Source organism: Homo sapiens, chromosome 2, assembly GCF_000001405.40.
Source record: "Homo sapiens chromosome 2, GRCh38.p14 Primary Assembly".
NCBI lineage: Eukaryota > Metazoa > Chordata > Mammalia > Primates > Hominidae > Homo > Homo sapiens.
In genome coordinates this window covers 61307232-61327925 of record NC_000002.12, presented here as the reverse complement: position 1 = coordinate 61327925, position 20694 = coordinate 61307232, and the positions used below count along the sequence as shown (strand labels likewise).

Here is a 20694-nt window from a genome sequence, read left to right as displayed (position 1 = left end):
TTTAAGGCAGTAATCTGTTACTAAAGTTTCATATCTTTGGGGAGACTGTTTTTGTCCTGTATTTCCTGTGATGTCAGAAGCCATGGACAAGCCCATGAGAATTTGTCAATATTGATACCATCTTTGTCTGACATCCCAAGGAATTTTTCTCACTGGTGGTTTCAGCAGCCCATAGGACCCTGATGGAGCCCACAGAGATCTTTGAAGTGCAGCATCGGGGCTATACTGTGGGAGTACAAAGGGACTAGACCCATGCCTTCAGGGTTATTAGTCCCTTATTCCGAGATGCAAGTATAGGGGAAGAATTATTTCAGATGTAAAGGCACTTAGTAAAGGGCAAGACTTTATTCTCCTTTTATGTTTGATTGATGTCCCATAGACAAGGCAAGAGGATACAGTAACGTAAAACCGCAGAACTGATGGGTCATACAACTCATTTTTGAATTTGTACTCAAGGCCTCTGCTACAAAATCCCTTGTTGTTTAACTTAAAAAGCCTAGAAGCCCTTAAGAGCTAGCTGTTCTTGAATTTTATCTGGGTTGCCTTATAGTCTGAGAGTTGCTTATCAGATTTCCTCTCCCCTACATCTCGTCATATGTATTTTCACTTTCACAAAGGTGAGTGCAGCATTAATGAGGCAAAAGTTAATCTTTTCTTTGCCAGCATTAATAAGAGACCCTAAAGAGCAGCAAAGGCATGTCCAGTGAACTCAGTCTTCAGAAAACTTAAGCTTTAAAACTTCAGTAATGAATTTAGTGCGATTTTGGGAAGCTAATTTTGGGATGCTGTTAAAATTTTGCTCTTACTTGTGGATTACAGGACATTGAATTAAGATGCCCAGGCTGTGCACAGTGGCTCATGCCTGAAATCCCAGCACTTTGGGAGGCCAAGGTGGGTGGGTCACCTGAGGTCAGGAGTTAGAGACCAGCTGGCTAATGTGGTGACACCATATTTCTACTAAAAATAAAAAAAAAATCAGCTGGGTGTGGAGGCATGCACCTGTAATCCCAGCTCCTCGGGAGGCTGAGGCAGGAGAATCGCTTGAACCCAGGAGGCGGAGGTTGCAGTGAGCTGAGATCACGCTACTGCACTCCAACCTGGGCGAGTGTGAAACTCCGTTTCGGCAAAAAAAAAAAAAAAAAAAAAAATGCCCATTGACCTTCTGCATGCTAGGTTATAGATCAGAGCATAGACCAGCCACTGTTTTATGTTGGCAAAGCAGTTTGGGCAGTTGATCCACAGTCTGCCTTTTGATCTGTAAAACAGCAATAATAGCTTATTATTGACTTAGTTTCATTGAGTGCTCAAGTACTTGAACTAGAATGTGATATTATAGACACAGTTAAATATGCAGTTCACTGGGGTTGCCAAAGGAAAGGAATCCTTTTAAAATGCAAACCTGGGCCGGTCATGCTGACACCTGTAATCCCAGCACTTTGCTAGGCCAAGGCAGGCAGATCACTTGAGGTCAGGAGTTTGAGACAGCCTGGCCAACATGGTGAAACCCCGTCTCTACTATAATAAAAATAACAAAAATTAGCCGGGTGTGGTGGCGCACGCCTAGCTGGGATTAGCTTGTAATCCCAGCTACTCCGGAGGCTAAGGCACGAGAATCACTTGAACCTGGAAGGCAGAGGTTGCAGTGAGCGGTGATTCTGTCACTGCACTCCAGCCTAGACAACAGAGTGAGACTCTGCCCCCCTTCCAGCCCCAAATACACAAATTTTTAAAAAAGCAAACCTGATGATTACCTCCACCCCAAACATGGTCCCCTCACCCCCACTCACCAGCACTCTTCCCTGACTTCCTTTTCTATCTCTTCTTTCTGACTTTGGGGCCGACCACAGTCTGTCTCTTGTTGATCTATTCAGACTCATCTCCTACCCTACCTCACTAAAAGTTGCTTCTTTAAAAGTTTCAAAAGCAACTTTTTTATTAAGCATCAAATTTTATGCATGTGAATTATAATTATTTAGATTGGAAATAACATTCAAAAATACAAATTTTGTATCAGCTCTACTTTTCATGAACTAGATTTATGGAAATATTATTTTATTAGTGTTTCTTGGGTACAGAATATATTATCACTAAAGGGACTATGATATGAAGTATGTACTTTTTAGATAGAGATGGTGTTTTTTACTTGTTGCCTATTCTAACTTATGTGTGTGTTACATACTTTTAAAATGACATACTTCCTCTGCTTCACTGTTGAATTTTTGTGTGCTTTCTTATGTAATTTGAAAGTAAACTTTGTTGTAGTTTTGAGATTTGTGTAATTTATTAAATAGTATAAATTTTTTTGTTTTGCCTTTATGAACTTCTTTCGTGTAACCAAAGATACTTAGTTAAAATAATTATGAATTATTAAAACAATTTTTGGTATAAGTTATGCATAGGACCACTAAATTTTTAAAAGTAATTAAGAAATAGGATATTTAATTATTTTAATGACTTTTAAATTATAGGTACAGCCATAGTGCTGAAGTTCAAGTTCGTCTTCAATTCTTGACTTGTGTATTTTCAACTCTGGGATCACCTGATCATTTCAGTAAGTTTTTTAATCAGTACTTTTTAAAAATCTGTTTTGACTATTGGAAGAACTAAATTTACTTTTGCTTCTGATTTCTGCAGTTTTTTTTTTTTTTTAGTTTAATTTAATTTTAGAGTCAGTGGGCACATGTATGTTTGTTACAGGGTATTGTAACAAATCCCTACCAGTATTGCGTACTGGTAGGGATTGGGCTTCTTGTGTACCCATTACTCAAATAGTGAACATTGTACCCGATAGTTTATTTTTCATCCCTTATCCTGTTCCTGCCATATCCCCTTTTGGAGACTCCAGTGTCTGTTAGTTTCATCTGTATGTCCATGTGTACCCATTGTTTAGCTCCTGCTTACAAGCAAGAATGTACGGTATTTGGTTTTCTGTTTCTGAGTTAGTTCACTTAGAATAATGGCCTTCAGTTCCATTTATGTTGCTGCAAAGGACATGATTTCATTCTTTTTTCATGGCTGCTGCAGTGATTATTCTTAATACATTTATAAATTATACCAACATTTAGATAATTTATTAAAGTAATTGAGATTGTTTGCACTTTAAATAAATTAAAAATTTTTTTTTAGTTCTATAAGACCTTTTCTCTTTCTTTTTTGAGACATGGTCTCACACTGTCTCCCAGGCTGGAGTTCAGTGATGCGATCACAGCTCATTGCAGCTGTTGACCTCCCCGGCTCAAGCAGTCATCCCACCTTAGCCTCCTCAGTAACGTGGGACTATGCACCACCATAGCCAGCTAATTTTTTTAAAATTTTCATAGAGATAGGGTTTCACTGTGTTGCCCAGGCTGGTCTCAAACTCATGGGCCCAAACAGTCTTCCTGCCTTGGCCTCCCAAAGTGCTAGGATTACCAGTGTGTCACTGCACCTGGCTGACTGCATCTTTTATTATTTTTGCTTGTAGAATCTTGCTGTCCCTTTGGTTGGAGATAGGTATTATTTATGTATTATTATCAGGGCTAATCTTTTGAAAATCACTTGGCTTTATGGGTGATGGAGACATTTAGAGGCCCCAGTTTTATTTAGTTTGACTTTAAACTCAGTTTCGTTAACAGTTAATTTTTTAAAAGTAGAGCTTGGTCTGTTATATTCAGGTTGTGTACCATATCCAAATCCATGTGGTTATAGATGGTCTCACAAGAGAGGAACGAGCTTGATTTCTGTTAGCCAAAGCTCCTTTTTCCTTCATATACTGACTGTCATCCTTTACTCTCTACATTCTTCTTTTTCTGTGTGTCAATGTCAAACCTTATTTTTTAGAAGGACATTGTCTCTTTAACTGTGGTTAATATATTGTCAGCCTGATGGCTGTCTTGCTAGGAGTCGTCATGACTCTTTTCAAGTCCATACCTATGCTTGAGATATACTGTGTTTATCTTGTTATTTAAAGTCTGTTTCTTTTTTCTTTTCAAACTATTTGTAACAAATGCCAGCAACACTGGGATAACAGATTTCAAAAATAAGCGACCTGATTTTGGTAGGAAATTTCTCTTTCGTGTTATTACGTCATTTATTGACCCATTATGACTGATAACATTCAAGAAATAAGTAAAATACAGCAAAACCAATCTATAGGGAGAAGTCAAACTAAAACACATATAGTCAACATAGATACCATGAACATTTAAGTTTCATATTTATTATACACAGTATAGATTCTCTGAGAATTTACAATAGACAATAGCTACTGTCCAGATAGTATCAAATCTAAAACTTCACTTCTCCCACATCATGGCTGTTCTCCCCACCACTTCACCTGCCCTCCAAGTGATCCTCCCACCTCAGTCTCCAGAGTAGCTGGGACCATAGGTGCACATCACCATACCTGGCTATTTTTTTTTTTTTTTTTTTTGAGGCGGAGTCTTGCTCTGTTGCCCAGGCTGGAGTGCAGTGGCACAATCTCGGCTCCCTGCAAGCTCTGCCTCCCAGGTTCACGCCATTCTCTTGCCTCAGCCTCCCAAGTAAGCTGGGACTATAGGCGCCCACCACCACACCCAGCTAACTTTTTTTTGTATTTTTAGTAGAGACGGGGTTTCACCGTGTTAGCCAGGATGGTCTCGATCTCCTGACCTCGTGATCCGCCCGCCTCGGCCTCCCAAAGTGGTGGGATTACAGGCGTGAGCCGCTGCGCCCAGCCTAATTTTTAAATTATTTGTACAGAGTCTCATTATGTTGCCCAGCCTGGTCTGAAACTCATGGACTCAAGCGATCCTCCTGCCTTACCTTCCCAAAGTGCTAGGATTACAGGCCTCAGACTACTGTGCATGGCTGGTTGTACTTCTCTTATTGGCACAGTTCCTGTTACCCATAACGAAGTTACTTCAAAGTTATATGTAATTACATCCAATATTTTAATACTGATTTTCAATATGACAATAACTATAGTCTTTTAAAAAATAACAAAAGTGTTTAAGTTGCTCATTGAATGTGGATTGGTGATTCAGCCAATTATGGATATACTTCTGTTTTTTTATTTAGTTGACTATAATTAACCTGGATACTCTTTATCTTGTTCTCCTTAATTAATGTGTTTAAGTTCTGATATATACTAAAATTGTTTTGGGTTTATTTATATTTGCTTCTATGGGCACAAGTTCTCAGAACAAATAATCTACACATTAACTGTTTCAGTGAGAAACTGATAGGATAACTTTTTTCTGATAAAACTCTTTAGACTGATACTGCTACTAGGGTGAATATTTCTGAGGAATTTTTCTGTATTTTGTCATTTCATCTACTTTTCCCAATAAAAGAAATTTCTTTTGATGGTACCATACCATCATGCCCCTTCTGGTTCTAGGGCACCACCCCAGGGTTTGGAACCTCTTAAAATGTACTTCAGAAATCCCTGGGATGTTTTGTTCTAACCTTTTGGACTGTCTAATTTTTTTCATACTCGTACTTGTGATTGCCTATAATGCCTTCCCTTTTGTTCTGAATAGTTCGTCTGTCTTCTGCCACACTGGGGCATCCTTTAATAATAATTGGGTACAGTACAGATTTTCTCTCATTAGCCTGACTCCCTAGCTGATTATGTCCTCTGATATGTTGCTGTTGTCTGTTTTAGGCAGTTTCCTTTTGCTTTCTTCATCATAAGGGTCCTTTTTTCTTTTTTTCTTTGTCTTTGTTTTGTTTTGAGACAGAGTCTTGCTCTTGTCACACAGGCTGGAGTACATTGGCGTGATCTTGGCTCACCGCAACCTCCACCTCCCTGGTTCAAGCGATTCTCCTGCCTCAGCCTCCCGAGTAGCTGGTATTATAGGCATGCGCCACCACGCCTAGCTAATTTTTTGTATTTTTAGTAGAGATGGGGTTTCTTCATGTTGGTCAGGCTGGTCTCGAACTCCCGACCTCAGGTGATCCACCCACCTCGGCCTCCCAAAGTGATGGGATTACAGGTGTGAGCCACCGTGCCCGGCCTCCTTTTTTCATATTTTACAAAAATAATGCTTACTTATTTATCTCCTATATACAGAGAATGACCTTTGAACATGGTATACACTCTATTTATAATACTCAAACCTTAACCACTGATTCCTCAATTTTTAGGATTACCTCCCCCAATCATTTTTACTATTATACGGATGTGCTCCTATTTTAGGGAGAAGAATTTTCTTCCTAAATGGGTTCTTTGAGAATACTTCGTAAGTTGTGTATTTTTAGGTGATTTACATATGGGTTATCTTAAACTACATTTTAAAAACATAAATTATGTGAAAATTCGTATTAAATACTTGTAAAAGGCTGTAAGATATCTCCTTTGTGTTTCTGGCTATATTGGTGTTTCTGGTACATTCATTTAGGGCCAAAATGTTGTATGAATGTGATTTTAAATTTTACAAATAGGATGACATAAGAAATACTTATTGAGATAGTTTTGTTTTGTTTTTTGTTTTGAGACGGAGTCTTACTCTGTCACCAGGCTGGAGAGCAGTGGCGCAAATCTTGGCTCACTGCAACCTCCACCTCCCAGGTTCAAGCAATTCTCTTGCCTCAGCCTCCCGAGCAGCTGGGACTACAGGCATGTGCCACCACACCCAGCTAATTTTTGTATTTTTAGTAGAGACAGGGTTTCACCATGTTGGCCAGGATGGTCTTGATCTCCTGACCTCATGATCTGCCTGCCTCAGCCTCCCAAAGTGCTGGGATTACAGGCATGAGCCACTGCGCCTGGCCATTTTTTTGTTTTTTTTTTTAAAGAGACAGTCTCGCTCTGTCATCCAGGCTGAAGTGCATGATCATAGTTCAGGGCAGCCTTGAACTCCTGGGCTCGAAGAGCCTTCCCACCTCAGCCTCCCAAGTAGCTAGGACTAAAGGTGCGTGCCACCCTGCCCAGCTACTTTTTTGTTTGTTTTTGACACGGAGTCTTGCTCTTGTCGCACAGGATGGAGTGCAGTGGTGAGGCCTCAGCTCACTGCAACCTCCACCTCCCGGGTTCCAGCGATTCTCGTGCCTTATCCTCCCGAGTAGCTGGGATTACAGGCACCCACCACCACGCCTGGCTAATTTTTGTATTTTTAGTAGAGACGGGGTTTCACCATGTTGACTAGGCTGGTTCTGAACTCCTGACCTTTGGTGATCCACCCACCTCGTCCTCCCGAAGGGCTGGGATTACAGGCGTGAGCCACCACGCCCAGCCTACAAATTTTTGTTTTTTAATTTTTTGTAAAGACAATGTCTTCCTATATTGCCCAGACCGGTCTCAAACTCATGGCCACAAGTGATTCTCCCACCTCAGCCTCCCAAAGTGCTGGATTACATGTGTAAGCCACTGCGCCTGGATGAGATAGTAAATATTTTATACACTTTTATATAAATAAACTACAGTAGGTCATCAAATAATGTTTTAACATTAATGAGGAAAAAAACTGATTCCTGGCCCGGGCCACTGCCTGTGCAGAATTTACACATTCTCCCCATGTCTGCATGGGTTTTCTCTGGGTACCCTGGTTTCCTCCCACATCCCAAAGACATGCACTGTGGATTCATTGGCATGTCTAAATGATCCCAATCTGAATGAGTATGGGTGTGTGTATGAGGGCAATCTGCAATGGAATGGCTTCCTGGTCAAGGTTAGTTACTGCCCTGTCCTTAAGATACTAGTCCCTGAGATGCTGGGATACGATTTGGCCACCCACAACCCTGAACTGGAATAAGCGAGTTGGAAAATGAGCAAATGAATGAATACAAATTGTAACATAGAAATTTGTAAGCTCTATCATATTCGTAGAAATGCATAGCCATAAATGATGTGGTACAAAAGCGAGCCCACTGAATTTGTTATTGTTTGTGTTTAAACTGTCTGGTGGTAGGAAGTGCTCCTTAGTGTGTTTAATTTGTAACCATTTAGTCCTTGATTTCATCTACCACCACCGATTCGCCAAAAACTGGATAAATAACTATCTTAGTGGTTTGTATTAATCTTTCTTAAATGTATATATAGCTCACATTTATTCCAGTGTTTAATATTCAAAGTGTTAACTTCTAAATAAGAAAGTTTAGTGAATTTTTTTTGGTTTTTTTGAGATGGAATCTCGCGCTGTTGCCCTGGCTGGAGTGCAGTGGCCGATCTTGTATCACTGCAACCTTCACCTCCCAGGTTCAAGCAATTCTCCTGTCTCAGCCTCCTGAGTAACTGAGATTACAGGCACACGCCACCATGCCCAGCTAATTTTTTGTATTTTAATAGAGGCAGCGTTTCACCATGTTGGCCAGGCTGGTCTGGATCTCCCAAGCTCAGGCAGTCCACCCACCTCGGCCTCCCAAAGTGCTAGGATTACAGATGGGAGCCACTTCACCTGGCTGCTGTGATTCTTTTTTTTTTTTTTAATCATAAATATGCTGTAGGAACATAACTCTTATTTATATCAATTAACATATGGTAAAGTTAGTTTCATTATGCATCATTTCAATTAAAATTGCAATTTCCAAGAACCTATCTGTGTTAAGTGAGGACTTACTGTACATACACATGCCTAAGAGAAGTTTAATTTTTTTGTATGTAGTTAATAAAGTATAAAATTTATAATTTTTATCTAGGGTTAAGTTTAGAGCAAGTTGACATCTTATGGCATTGTTTAGTAGAAGATTCTGAATGTTATGATGATGCACTCCATTGGTTTTTAAATCAAGTTCGAAGTAAAGATCAACATGCTATGGGTATGGAAACCTACAAACATCTTTTCCTGGAGAAGGTAATTACATTTCTCTCAGTTTGTTATTATTTTTCCATGTTCCCTTTTTCATCTCTTGAAATACGAATTCTGTAATGCCTTTTTTTTTTTGACAGTTTTTTTAAGTAGCCAAATGTAATGAATTTTAGCAGTCCTAATATAATTTTTGGTCAGATTGTGCTCTAATTTTGTTGTTTACACTGTTTACCTCTAAATTAATAGTTTATATTTATAAAAATGTTCTATTAGCTACAATAATTCAACAATTACAATAACTTTTGAAGGCAGCACTAATTTTCTTAGTGTTTGTTTTTTTGAAATAATCAGTAATATTGTAGTCCAATTTTCAGGGGTGGTGCCCACACCCACAAGTGTGAGAGCTGTTTTCTGTGACTCTTCATGATTTAAATAACTGTCATTGCAGTCAGTCTTTTGGGCAAAGATAAGCCATTCTCCAGATGTGTAGATTGTGGGAAGGCATATTAAGAAGTGTTGTCATTATCGTAAAGATGTTCCAATTTTTCTTCTTCTTTACCACATGCCACAGTTCAGGTGACATTTTTCTGAATGAACTATTCCCAATTGAATTTTGAAACTCAGTGAAAATAATGCAGTAAGACTTTTTTATGCTTATTTTTGAGATTATGAAGTCTCTCTGCAAAGTGTGACGTTATCTCCATGTTGGAACTGAGTATATATATGAATGAGTTTTAGTGTGTATAAACTAAATCACTTAACAGACCCAAGACAGAGCTACAAATATAACTTTTGCCATCTTAAATTTCGACCTCTGACTTTAACAAAAACTGTACTTGTAGCTATACCTCTCATAAGTTTGTTTAGTATAGGTATACAATGCATGATAGTTGTCTTTATTTATGTCCTCTGATTTGGGTCTATGTACATCTTCAAAATTGAAGCCTGTATCAGACACATTTCAGTTATTACCTGAATAAAATGTTCATTAAATCACATATATATTTTCATTTTTTTTTTTTTTTTTGAGATGGGCTTGCTCTGTCTCCAAGGCTGGAGTGCAGTAGTGTGATCACGTCTCACTGTAGCCTTGACCTCCCAGGCTCAAGCAATTCTCCCACTACAGCCTCCCGAGTAGTTGGGACTACAGCCACACACCACCATGCCCGGCTGATTTTTGTAGTTTTCATAGAGATGAGATTTCGCCATGTTGCCCAGGCTGGTCTCAAAACTCCTGAGCTCAAGCGATCTGCCTGCCTTGGCTTTCCAAAGTACTGAGCCACCGTGCCCAGCAAAATTATTATATATTTTTATTTTTTAAAATTATCACTAAAAATTCAAACTGATCTGTTTCCTTCTACAGTGTTTTCAGTAAAGTTTATTTAAATTTAATAAAATCTGTGAATTACCACACTAAATTAGCTTTGTGTTTCCCCCTACCCTTCCAAAGATGCCCCAGCTAAAACCTGAAACAATTAGCATGACTGGCTTAAACCTGTTTCAGCATCTCTGTAACTTGGCTCGATTGGCTACCAGTGCCTATGATGGTTGTTCAAATTCTGAGGTATGGATTTAGACTTACTTTATTAGGCAACTTTATTCCTCAAATTAGATTATCAAATTCGGTTTCCAAATTATTTTTCTACAAAGTATAGAATTTACTACCTGTGCAGTGCAGTTGGGTTTGTTTTGAGATGGAGTCTATCTCTGTTGCTCAGGCTGTAGTGCAGTGGTGTGATCTCAGCTCACTGCAACCTCCACCTCCCAGATTCAAGAGATTCTCTAGCCTCAGCCCCCGAAGTAGCTGGGATTACAGACATTTGCCACCATGCCTGGCTAATTTTTGTATTTTTGGTAGAGACAGGGTTTTACCATGTTACTCAGGCTGGTCTTGCACTCCTGACCTTAAGTGATCTGCCTGCCTTGGCCTCCCAAAGTGCTGGGATTACAGGCATGAGCCAACGTGCTCAGCCCAATTCTGTTCTCTGGTTTCAAAAGTTTTATGAAGCAAATTTATTTTTCAGTATGAAAGATAACATTGGGTGTGCTTAATGAAAATCTATTACATGTTTCTTGATTTATAAAGAAGTGGCCATGTCAGTGTTCTTTGAGTCTCCTAGACATTCCTAGATAATACAGCCAAATATTTTACTTCAAATAAAAGATTGATTTGTCTCAGATATGATTTTTATGCCATTTGGTTCAGCCTGGGCAACAAAGCAAGACTCCATCTGAAGAAAAAAGAATACTTGTATCTCTTAGCAAGTTTGGGGAAATTTTTTTAAAAAGGAAAAAGAATTATTTTTAAAAATTTTTATTATTATTATTTTTTGAGATGGAGTCTGGCTCTGTCACCCAGGCCAGAGTGCAGTGGTGTGATCTCAGCTCACTGCAACCGCCACCTCCCGGGTTCTAGCAATTCTCATGCCTCAGCTTCCCGAAGTATCTGGGATTACAGGGGTGCACCACCATGCCTGACTAATTTTTGTATTTTTAGTATAGGTGGGGTTTCACCATGTTGGCGGGGCTGGTCTCGAGCTCCTGACGTCAGGTGATCCACCCGCCTTGGCCTCCCGAACTGCTGGGATTACAGGCATGAGCCACTGCACCAGGCCATTATGATTATTTTTTTTGAGATGGTGTCTGGCTCTGTCGCCCAGGCTGGAGTGCAGTGGCACAGTCTCAGCTCACTGCAACCTCCACCTCCTGGGTTCAAGCGATTCTCATGCCTCAGCCTCTTGAGTAGCTGGGACAACAGGCATGCACCACCACGCCCAGCTAATTTTTGTATTTTTAGTAGAGTTGGGTTTTCACCACGTTGACCAGACTAGTCTCGAACTCCTGACCTCAAGTTTTCCACCCGCCTTGGCCTCCCAAAGTGCTGGGATTATAGGTACGAGCCACCACGGCTGGCCAGAATAATTTTAATTGTATCTAAAATGCTTTTATTTTATTTTCCTACTGCCTTCTTTTCTTGTCTGAATAGGTTTTTTCAGTTTTTTTAGTCCTAACCCTTGCTTCAGTATCACTCTGATAACTGCTGGAGTGCAGTGGCACAATCTTGGCTCACTGCAACCTCCGCCTCCCAGGTTCAACCAATTCTCTTGCTTCAACCTCCCGAGTAGCTGGGATTATAGGCGCATGCCTGCCTGGCTAATTTTTTTTTTTTTTTTTTTTTAAAGTAGAGACAGGGTTTCACCGTGTTGGCCAGGCTGGTCTCGAACTCCTGAGCTCAGGCAGTCTGCCTGCCTCAGCCTCCCAAAGTGCTGCAATTAGAGGCGTGAGCCACTCCACACGGCCCACTATGATAATTTTCAATTTGGTAATTTCAGACAACTGAAGTAGTCGTGCTCTGTTATGAAATAAGTTTACCTTTTTAAAGTAGGTGACATTAACACTAAAGTTGTTTAGCTGCCAATTTAGAAGGAAATCTTTCTTTACTCTGCCCAACTTTTGGAAGCTTCCACTCGCCACTTTTTCTGTAGTTTTTAGTGAAAACATTTTTTGTTGTCATCTCATGGTTGACATCATAAATTTGAATGAGGCTGGACGCAGTGGCTCACACCTGTAATTCCACCTCTTTGAGAGGCTGAGGCGGGTGGATCAGCTGAGGTTGGGAGTTCGAGACCAGCCTGGCCAACATGGTGAAACCCTGTCTCTACTAAAATACAAAAAAATTAGCCAGATGTTGTGGCGCATGCCTGTAATCCCAGCTACTTAGGAGGCTAAGGCATGAGAATCCTTGGAAACCTGGGAGGCAGAGGTTGCAGTGAGCCAAGATTGCGCCACTGCACTCCAGCCTGGGCAAGTGAGTGAGACTCTGTTCTCAAAAAAAAAAAAAAATTGGGTGAGAACTTGAGTTAGCATATGTTGTTAATTTTCTGTGAATACAAGAAAGCAGTGGTTTTCTCAGTTTAGGTTGGATGGATTCATTGAAGCATTGTGCTCGTTATTGTGTTGGTTTTATTCCTTTATAGTATGTTTTTCAGGACTAGAATTTTCGTACTATGTAGTCACAACTTGTGAGTTAAACATGTATATATTGTTATCTGCTGTATAAATATTTTTTAGAACTAGTACAGGTGTATTTCATCAATTGAGGAAATTTTTAAATCATTTATTTTTATTATTTAATAGCTGAATAATAGGAGTTGCCTATGATTTTTACTTTTGATACTTCAGTCTTAATGAGTTACATAGTTTGACAAACAAAATTTAGAGATACCATATTTTTCTTTCTTAGCTGTGTGGTATGGACCAATTTTGGGGCATTGCTTTAAGAGCACAATCTGGTGATGTCAGTCGAGCAGCTATCCAGTATATTAACTCCTATTATATTAATGGTAAGTGATTTGAAACATTGTCTGATAGGTAATTTCTATGTGAGGGTGTTTTGTGAAACTAAAATTTTTCTTTGATATAGCTAAACAAGAATATAAGGCTAATATATGTGTCTAAACATTTGGCTTTCAGGTAAAACAGGTTTGGAGAAGGAGCAAGAATTTATTAGTAAGTGCATGGAGAGTCTTATGATAGCTTCTAGCAGTCTTGAACAGGAATCACACTCAAGTCTCATGGTTATAGAAAGAGGACTCCTTATGCTGAAGACACATCTGGAAGCGTTTAGGAGAAGGTAATTTTTAAAATATCACACTGTTAGAATGAATTTCATTTTTATTCCTGACATATCCAGAAATATTCTTAAAGTGAATCTAAAGTTTTTGTTGGGGTCAAGTAGAAAGCATAATTTACCAAAGTGAAGGATCAGTAACATAAGTAATTTTTATTAAGAATATATACCATTTTGCCTTGGAATAGGCAATACGGGTTCCTGATAAATATTGCACACCTTTAATAATAGAGTTTGAGCAGATATGCATGAATAAGAATTGTTAGACAGAATTCCATCTCTAAGATAAAGTATTGACTTTGATTAAAAAGGCAGAACACCACTACTAAAAAAAGTTTCTCTAAAACTCTTACCAAGAACATCAAATAATCTCATAGTTGAATCAAGTTGAGTCATATGTTTCATTTGCTGTTTTTTTTTTCTTCCTGGACTAGGAGACAGTATTTTAATTTTGAATTTCCATTTACCATGGAAACATGACCAAAAAATTCTGTTAATGAATATCTGTATAATTAATTTAGACATAACCTGTGTAATACAGAAATAAAGCAAATTAATATTTATGAATATATCGACTGAAATGAAAGGTGAGTAGATAGTTTTAAGAAATTCTATTTGTTAAAAATTATGAGCAAATGTAAAAGTACTAAGAACTGTGTTGAAAAAAATTGTTAAAGTTAGTAACTTTTTTCAACTTCAGATCTTAGTTTGATATTGAAGTGATACAAGTGATATTTATTGACATTTTTAAAATATCAAGAAAGATTGCATAGTAAAGATATTTTATACATTCCTTATAAATAACATGCTTCCATGATTTGAAACATTTGGACATTACAGAATTCTTTAAGATTGCAATTCATGGAAATTCTGCTTAAAGAATTCCTTGTGTTTTTAATGAATGTGGAAAGGAACTCATTTTTTTACACAGAAACTTCTTACTGCCTTATAACTTTAACCACTTAAAAAAATAAAATTTTAAAAAGAGCAAATGTGGTGTAACTTATTCAAATTAATTAATACGTATTATAAAATTCAGATATTACACTGTGATGTAGAAAATGAAAGTCTGCTATAATTTCTGTCTTCCTCGTGGAGATACTGTTAATGATACCCATACTTCTAAAATTTTTTCTATGCTGTGGGATCTTCAACAAACCAACAAGGTCCTGTTGATTCACACCCTTAGTCCTTGCACAGCATTACCAATGTCTAAAATAAGTGCTTATTTTAAGTCTTTAAAAATGTATTTGTTTTTTGAGCATTCAGTGGTGGTTTTATAAATTTAATGAATTTAAGTCCAAAAATTCCTTCTCAGATGTACAAATTTTTTTCTGTTGTGAAAAAAAAAATTGTTATGTCCTTGATATCTTTTTATTTGTTCATGTTTTATGCTAAAAGTTAATGTTGATGTTAAATAGTTTATATAAAAATTTTTTGTTACTAGTACAATAACTAGGATATGGATAAAATTGAAGAGTCACAAAACTAAGCAGTAGTTTAAAAAAAATTTACTTAGGTATTTTTCATGCAAAATTTTGTTCTTGATGTGCTTAGTGCTATTATTAATTGAAAATTGCCTAACATCTGTAGATTGAAAATATAATTGTTCTTTGTGTTCTGTGTATTAAGGGAATAAACAATAATGTCTTAATTTGTTTACTTTTTAAAAAGAGATAAAGTTATAATCTTAAACAGTGGTTCTCAGCCAGAAGTGTTTTTGTTTCCCAAGACATAGTACGTAATCCCTGGAGACACTTCTGATAATCACAGCAAGAGAGCATGTTATTGGTATCTGGTGAGATGCTGCTGAACATCAGAGCATGAGATACAGCCTCCTTCACCCCTATTCTTCTGCCTTCTGATAACAACAAATTATTAATTGGGCTTAAAATGTCAGTAGTGCCACTGTGGAGAAACTCTGGTCTTGAATATGTAACAGGAAACATTGTTTTAAGGTTACTCTTTTGCTCATACATTGGATCATGTGGAAATTAGACAAGTTCATTCATTCCCTCACTTTTTATCCTTCTATTCCAAATTTGCTGATTAGTTTTAGACTTTTTTTTTTTTTTTTAAACTCAGGTACCTTGGATCCTGTCTTCCACATCTGAAAATTAGAAAATTGACACGTGTTTAGTGATTATCATGCTAGGTGCCTGTTTCCTTTGAAATACAAGTCTTTGTAATTCACTTTATAATTTTAACAGCCATGAATTGACTCTCAAATTCTATTAGGCTCGTTAGTATATATTTACCAGAATGTTTCTGTCCCTGAAAATTTTTTCTTAATATCTTTTTTCCTTCTGAATGCAGGAATCACAGCTTGCTATTTCATTTGCTGGATTAGTTTTTTTTTTTTAATTCCTCCTATCTCTCCTATTAATATTTCTACTCTCTTTATTAAAAAAATAATAAACTGGCCTTAAGGAGATTTTTTTTTTCCTCAGTAATTTCTCGTGGTGACTATTTTGTTAGGAGCTCTTAGCTGTTATTATGCAGTTACGTTTGATTCAGTATGATGAATCTGAACTTAAATTTGTTGCTGTAGAATACATTGGAATGAACTTAGAACTTCTTTTGGACTTTTCCAGTCTGTAAGATGATAAAAATTTGCGTAACATTAAAATGGTTTAAAATGGTATCCTTTCTATGTGTTGTTTGTGTCATGTTTTAGGTTTGCATATCATCTGAGACAGTGGCAAATTGAAGGCACTGGTATTAGTAGTCATTTGAAAGCACTGAGTGACAAACAGTCTCTGCCGCTAAGGGTTGTATGCCAGCCAGCTGGACTTCCTGACAAGGTACTTACATAGTTTTAATTTCGAAGTTGATAACATTTCCCAGGTCAAATATCTGTTCTTTTTGTATTTTTAAATTGGTTGCATCTCATATTTCAGATGACTATTGAAATGTATCCTAGTGACCAGGTAGCAGATCTTAGGGCTGAAGTAACTCATTGGTATGAAAATTTACAGAAAGAACAAATAAATCAACAAGCTCAGCTTCAGGAGTTTGGTCAAAGCAACCGAAAAGGAGAGTTTCCTGGTAAGCCTTTCAATTCAAATTTTCTCTTTCTCTTTCTCTCTTTCTTTCTTTTTCTCTTTCTCTTTCTCTTTTCTCCTTTCCTTTTCTTTTATTCTCCTTTTCTTTTCTTTCTTGGTTATATCATATAGCAACTGTCTTGGTTTGTCTTGTGTTGCTGTAACAATACTACAGACTAGGTAAAGAACAGAATTTGGGAAGTCCAAGATCAGGGTACCAGCATCTGGTGAGGGCTCCTCTCTGCTTTCAAAGTGGCACCTTGAATGCTGCCTCCTCACAGGCAGAGGGTGGAAGGGTAAAAAATGAACAGACTCCCTCCATCAGACCCTTTTATAATGGCATTAATTCATTCATGGCCTCTCCAAAGACCCCACATCTAAAACCTGTTGCATTGGAGATTAATGTTCAACATGAATTTTCAGAGAGAACAAAAAAATTCAAACCATAGCAGCAACTTTGAACCTTTACTTTGAAGGTCCACCATCCATGTTCATGGCTCCCTTCACCCTCCCCTCCCTTTAGTACCATTGATTCTTAGGTAAGAAGATGCTGAGAGTTGCTTCAGATGCTATTTGCAAAAAATTCTTCATTTGTTTCTCAAAAAATTCTATTTTAGACTTTTGATGTGACCATAAAAAACTTCTTGAAATTTATTTCATAAGCAATTTGGGAATTTTTGATAACTTTAAATTTCCATATACTACTCATCCACTTTAACCCAATAGTTTTTTTCATGTATTACATTTCCATTTTTTCTGAGAATATAAAAATAACACACCTTCGTGTCTCACCTGTGCATCTCTCCTTGCCTACCAAAAGTATCTTAAGAAATTTTTCATGTAGGCCTAATATATATATATGTATATGTATATGTGTATATATATATTTCTGATATCTTTTATAGGTATATATCTGATATTTAATATATATGTTTCTTATCTCTTTCCAGAGATACCAAGATATAATGTAAGAATATATATACATATATATGTGCTATATAGATGTATATGTATATATATATTTAAAGCACAAATGGTAGAATTCTATTTTTACTGTTCTGTTTGCTTGTAGGGCATATCATTATCTTAGAAAACATTTCATGTTAGTTCATGTAGAAAGTTACCTCATTCTTTTTGAGATCTGCATAGTTCACTATATAGTAATAACTTGATTCATTTTTCTTGTTCTCTATTAATGGACATTTAGATTGTTTTCATTATTTTGCTATTACAAACAATGTGACAGAGAATATCTTTGTCTCTACATTATTTCATGTATGTTGGATAAATACCTCATTATGGAATTTCTGGATCCAAATGTATCTGCTTTGGTTAGGTTGAAATATATTGTGCGTAGAGTGTATGAAAATAATAAAGTGAAAATCCACGTACCTACCATCCAGATTAAGAACTAGAACACTAGTAGAAGCTAGTATTGTGTCCTACCCAATAACATCATTTCCACTTCTCCTTAACACTGTCTTGATTTTTGAATTTGTTTTTTTAGTGTTCTTTATAGTCTTACCTCCATGTATGTTTTTATTTAGTTTTGTGAAACAGTTTGGCAACCACAAACCTAGTGGATAAAGAAAAAGGGACATGTAGCTACTATTAGATAAAGGATTGCAGAAGATGACAAGTTATAAACCTTCCCTACAGATGTATACAGCCTAATTTGGGGATATCAGTGGGAAGGTTCTCAAGTGTATGTATCAGCGCAGTTAAGACACATCCTATTGCTAAAATGTTGATAAAAATACTGGAATATCCAACAGTAGTATCTTCATAGAATTTGTATTTTCTTTTTCTAAGCTCTTCATGATCTACCATAACTCTCAGGAGTAGATCAAAGCAGAATTTCTTCTTTAGGATGAAATGGATGTCCTCTACTGATTCAAGCAGTAGGACATGGAGGTGAGAGCAGGAATCTCACTAGCACTTGGTAAAGACAATCCAAGTACAAATAAGAATCTGGGCCAGATTCGTCGTCCATTCTTTTGTAACATAGAGAAGATAGTACAGTGGCAGCAGGGGTCTTGGTCATGATAACCCTCAATGCATTTTTCCAAAGTCACACTGATCTTACTAATTGTCCTCAAATTTGGTGCACAGCAGTGATTGTGTGATATCTTTTATCATCCTTCTGGTAATTCTCTTCTCTCCTGTGTTGGATATTCTGTTTCCATGATCCATACCTTTCTCGTTATTGGTTGTCTTTGTGTGTGTGTTTCTGGAGTACAGGGAGTGTTCTATTCAGTGGTTTCTTGTGAGAAAACTGACAGAGGAATGTTTTTTATTCCTTGCATCATTAAACATGTATCTCATGTTTTCATACCCAAATGATAAATTAGCTGGGTAAAGAATTCTAAGTTGGAAATAATTTTGTTGCACAATTTTAGAGGTACTTCTCCATTGTTTCTTGCTTTCATCATTGCTGTTGAATTCTGAATTCCGATACTTTTTACATGCAGTGTATCTTTTGTTGTTGTTGTTGTTGTTGTTGTTGTTTTTGAGATAGTCTCCCTCTGTCACCCAGGCTGGAGTGCAGTGGCAGGATCTTGGCTTACTGCAACGTCCATGTTCAAGTGATTCTCCCACCTCAGCCTCCTGAGTAGCTGGGGCTACAGGTGGGTGCCACCATCCCTGGGTAATTTTTTGTATTTTTAGTAGAGACAGGGTTTCACCATGTTGCCTAGGCTCATCTCAAACTCTTGAGCTCAAGCTTTCTGCCCACTTAGGCCTCCCAAAGTGCTGGTATTACAGACATGAGCCACCATGCCCAGCCAACATGTAGTATTTTTTCTTACAGACATTAATCAGTCTTCACTTTTTTCTTAGTGTTCTGGGCCTGAGTATAGGTCTTTTATCAATGATTGTGATGGGTGCTTCAGTATTTACATGTTTAGGTATTTAGCACTGGACCCTTTCAGTTTGGCACATTATATTTTTCAGTCTGGAGAAATTTTCTTGAAATGGTTCATAGATTTCTTGTATTGTATTTTATCATTTTCTCTCCTTATGGAACATATCCATTATCTAGATGTTTTGCCTGTAAGACTCTTCCTAATTTATCTTTTCTATGTTTCTTTTTTCTTTTTAAGTTTTAACTCAAGTTCCTGAGAGATGTTCTCAACATTATTTTGCAGTCTTTCTACTGAGTTTTTCATTTCTACTGTCATGCTTTTAATATCTAAGAGCTCTTTTTTCTCTGAAAAAATATGCCTATTTTTAAAGTTGAAATCTTTTTGAGATTAACATTTTTCTTAATTGTTGAATTTTGCTTTTTTTGTTCATTCTGTTGGTGTCTACATTTTAGTGTTTAGATTATTTGCATTCAATGTAAATATTTTCTGTTTGTCCCATCTCTTCATTTTCTCTTTTAGCACATATTTAGCACTTCTGACACTTTTCATTCCTGTGCACAGATCTGAGTTTCTATTTTGTTTCTTTTCCCCCTTTCTTTCTGTTACTTTGTTTTTATTTATTTATTTTTTTGAGACAGGGTCTCACTCTGTCACCCAGGCTAGAGTGAAGTGGCATAATCACAGTTCACCACAGCCTTAACCTCCCGTTCTCAGGTGATCCTGCCACCTGAGTCTCCGGAGTAGCTGGGACTACAGGTGCCGGCCATCATGCCCAGCTGATTTTTGTATTTTTTGTAGAGACAGGGTTTTGCCATGTTGCCCAGGCTGGTTATTTAACTCCTGGTCTCAAGCTATCCTCCCCCCTTGGCCGTCCAAAGTCCTTGGATTACAGGGGTGACCCACTGCGCCCGGCCTTTTCAGACCCTTCTTTCTAATAAACTTCCTTTAAAGCTTTGTACTCTCGGTCTTCTGGTGACAAATTTTCTCAAGCTTTTTTTGTCTAGAAAAAAGTTTCTCTAAAAATGTTTATTTTGCCTTCATTGTTGATGGATATTTTCACTGGACATCAAATTCTAGGTCATGAGGTTTTTTATCCTCTTTCAGAACTTTATTTTTTTTTTTAATTAACATCCAAGTCTTATAAACTCTTATTTATTAAAAAGGAAATCATGAGATTGAGTCCTTATTAACATCCAAGTCTCATAAACTCTTTTTTTTTAAATTAAAGTTCTAGGGTACATGTGCACAACGCGCAGGTTTGTTACAAATGTATACACGTACCACGTTGGTGTCCTGCACCCATTAACTTGTCATTTACATTAGGTATATCTCCTAATGCTATCCCTCCCCCCTCCCCCCACCCCATGACAGGCCCCGGTGTGTGATGTTCCCCTTCTTGTGTCCAAGTGTTCTCATTGTTCAATTCCCACCTATGAGTGAGAACATGC

General features: G+C 37.4%; 1 protein-coding gene across 1 annotated transcript in view; it reads left to right on the top strand.

The window, feature by feature from the left end:
- Positions 1 to 20694, top strand: part of USP34 (ubiquitin specific peptidase 34) — a 283625-nt gene that overhangs the window by 143162 nt on the left and 119769 nt on the right. Inside the window, exons 21-27 of the mRNA NM_014709.4 lie at positions 2469 to 2551; positions 8599 to 8753; positions 10159 to 10272; positions 12952 to 13051; positions 13182 to 13341; positions 16016 to 16142; positions 16239 to 16386. Of these exons, the coding sequence (NP_055524.3) occupies positions 2469 to 2551; positions 8599 to 8753; positions 10159 to 10272; positions 12952 to 13051; positions 13182 to 13341; positions 16016 to 16142; positions 16239 to 16386 (887 nt within the window). The remainder of the gene's footprint in view (positions 1 to 2468; positions 2552 to 8598; positions 8754 to 10158; positions 10273 to 12951; positions 13052 to 13181; positions 13342 to 16015; positions 16143 to 16238; positions 16387 to 20694) is intronic.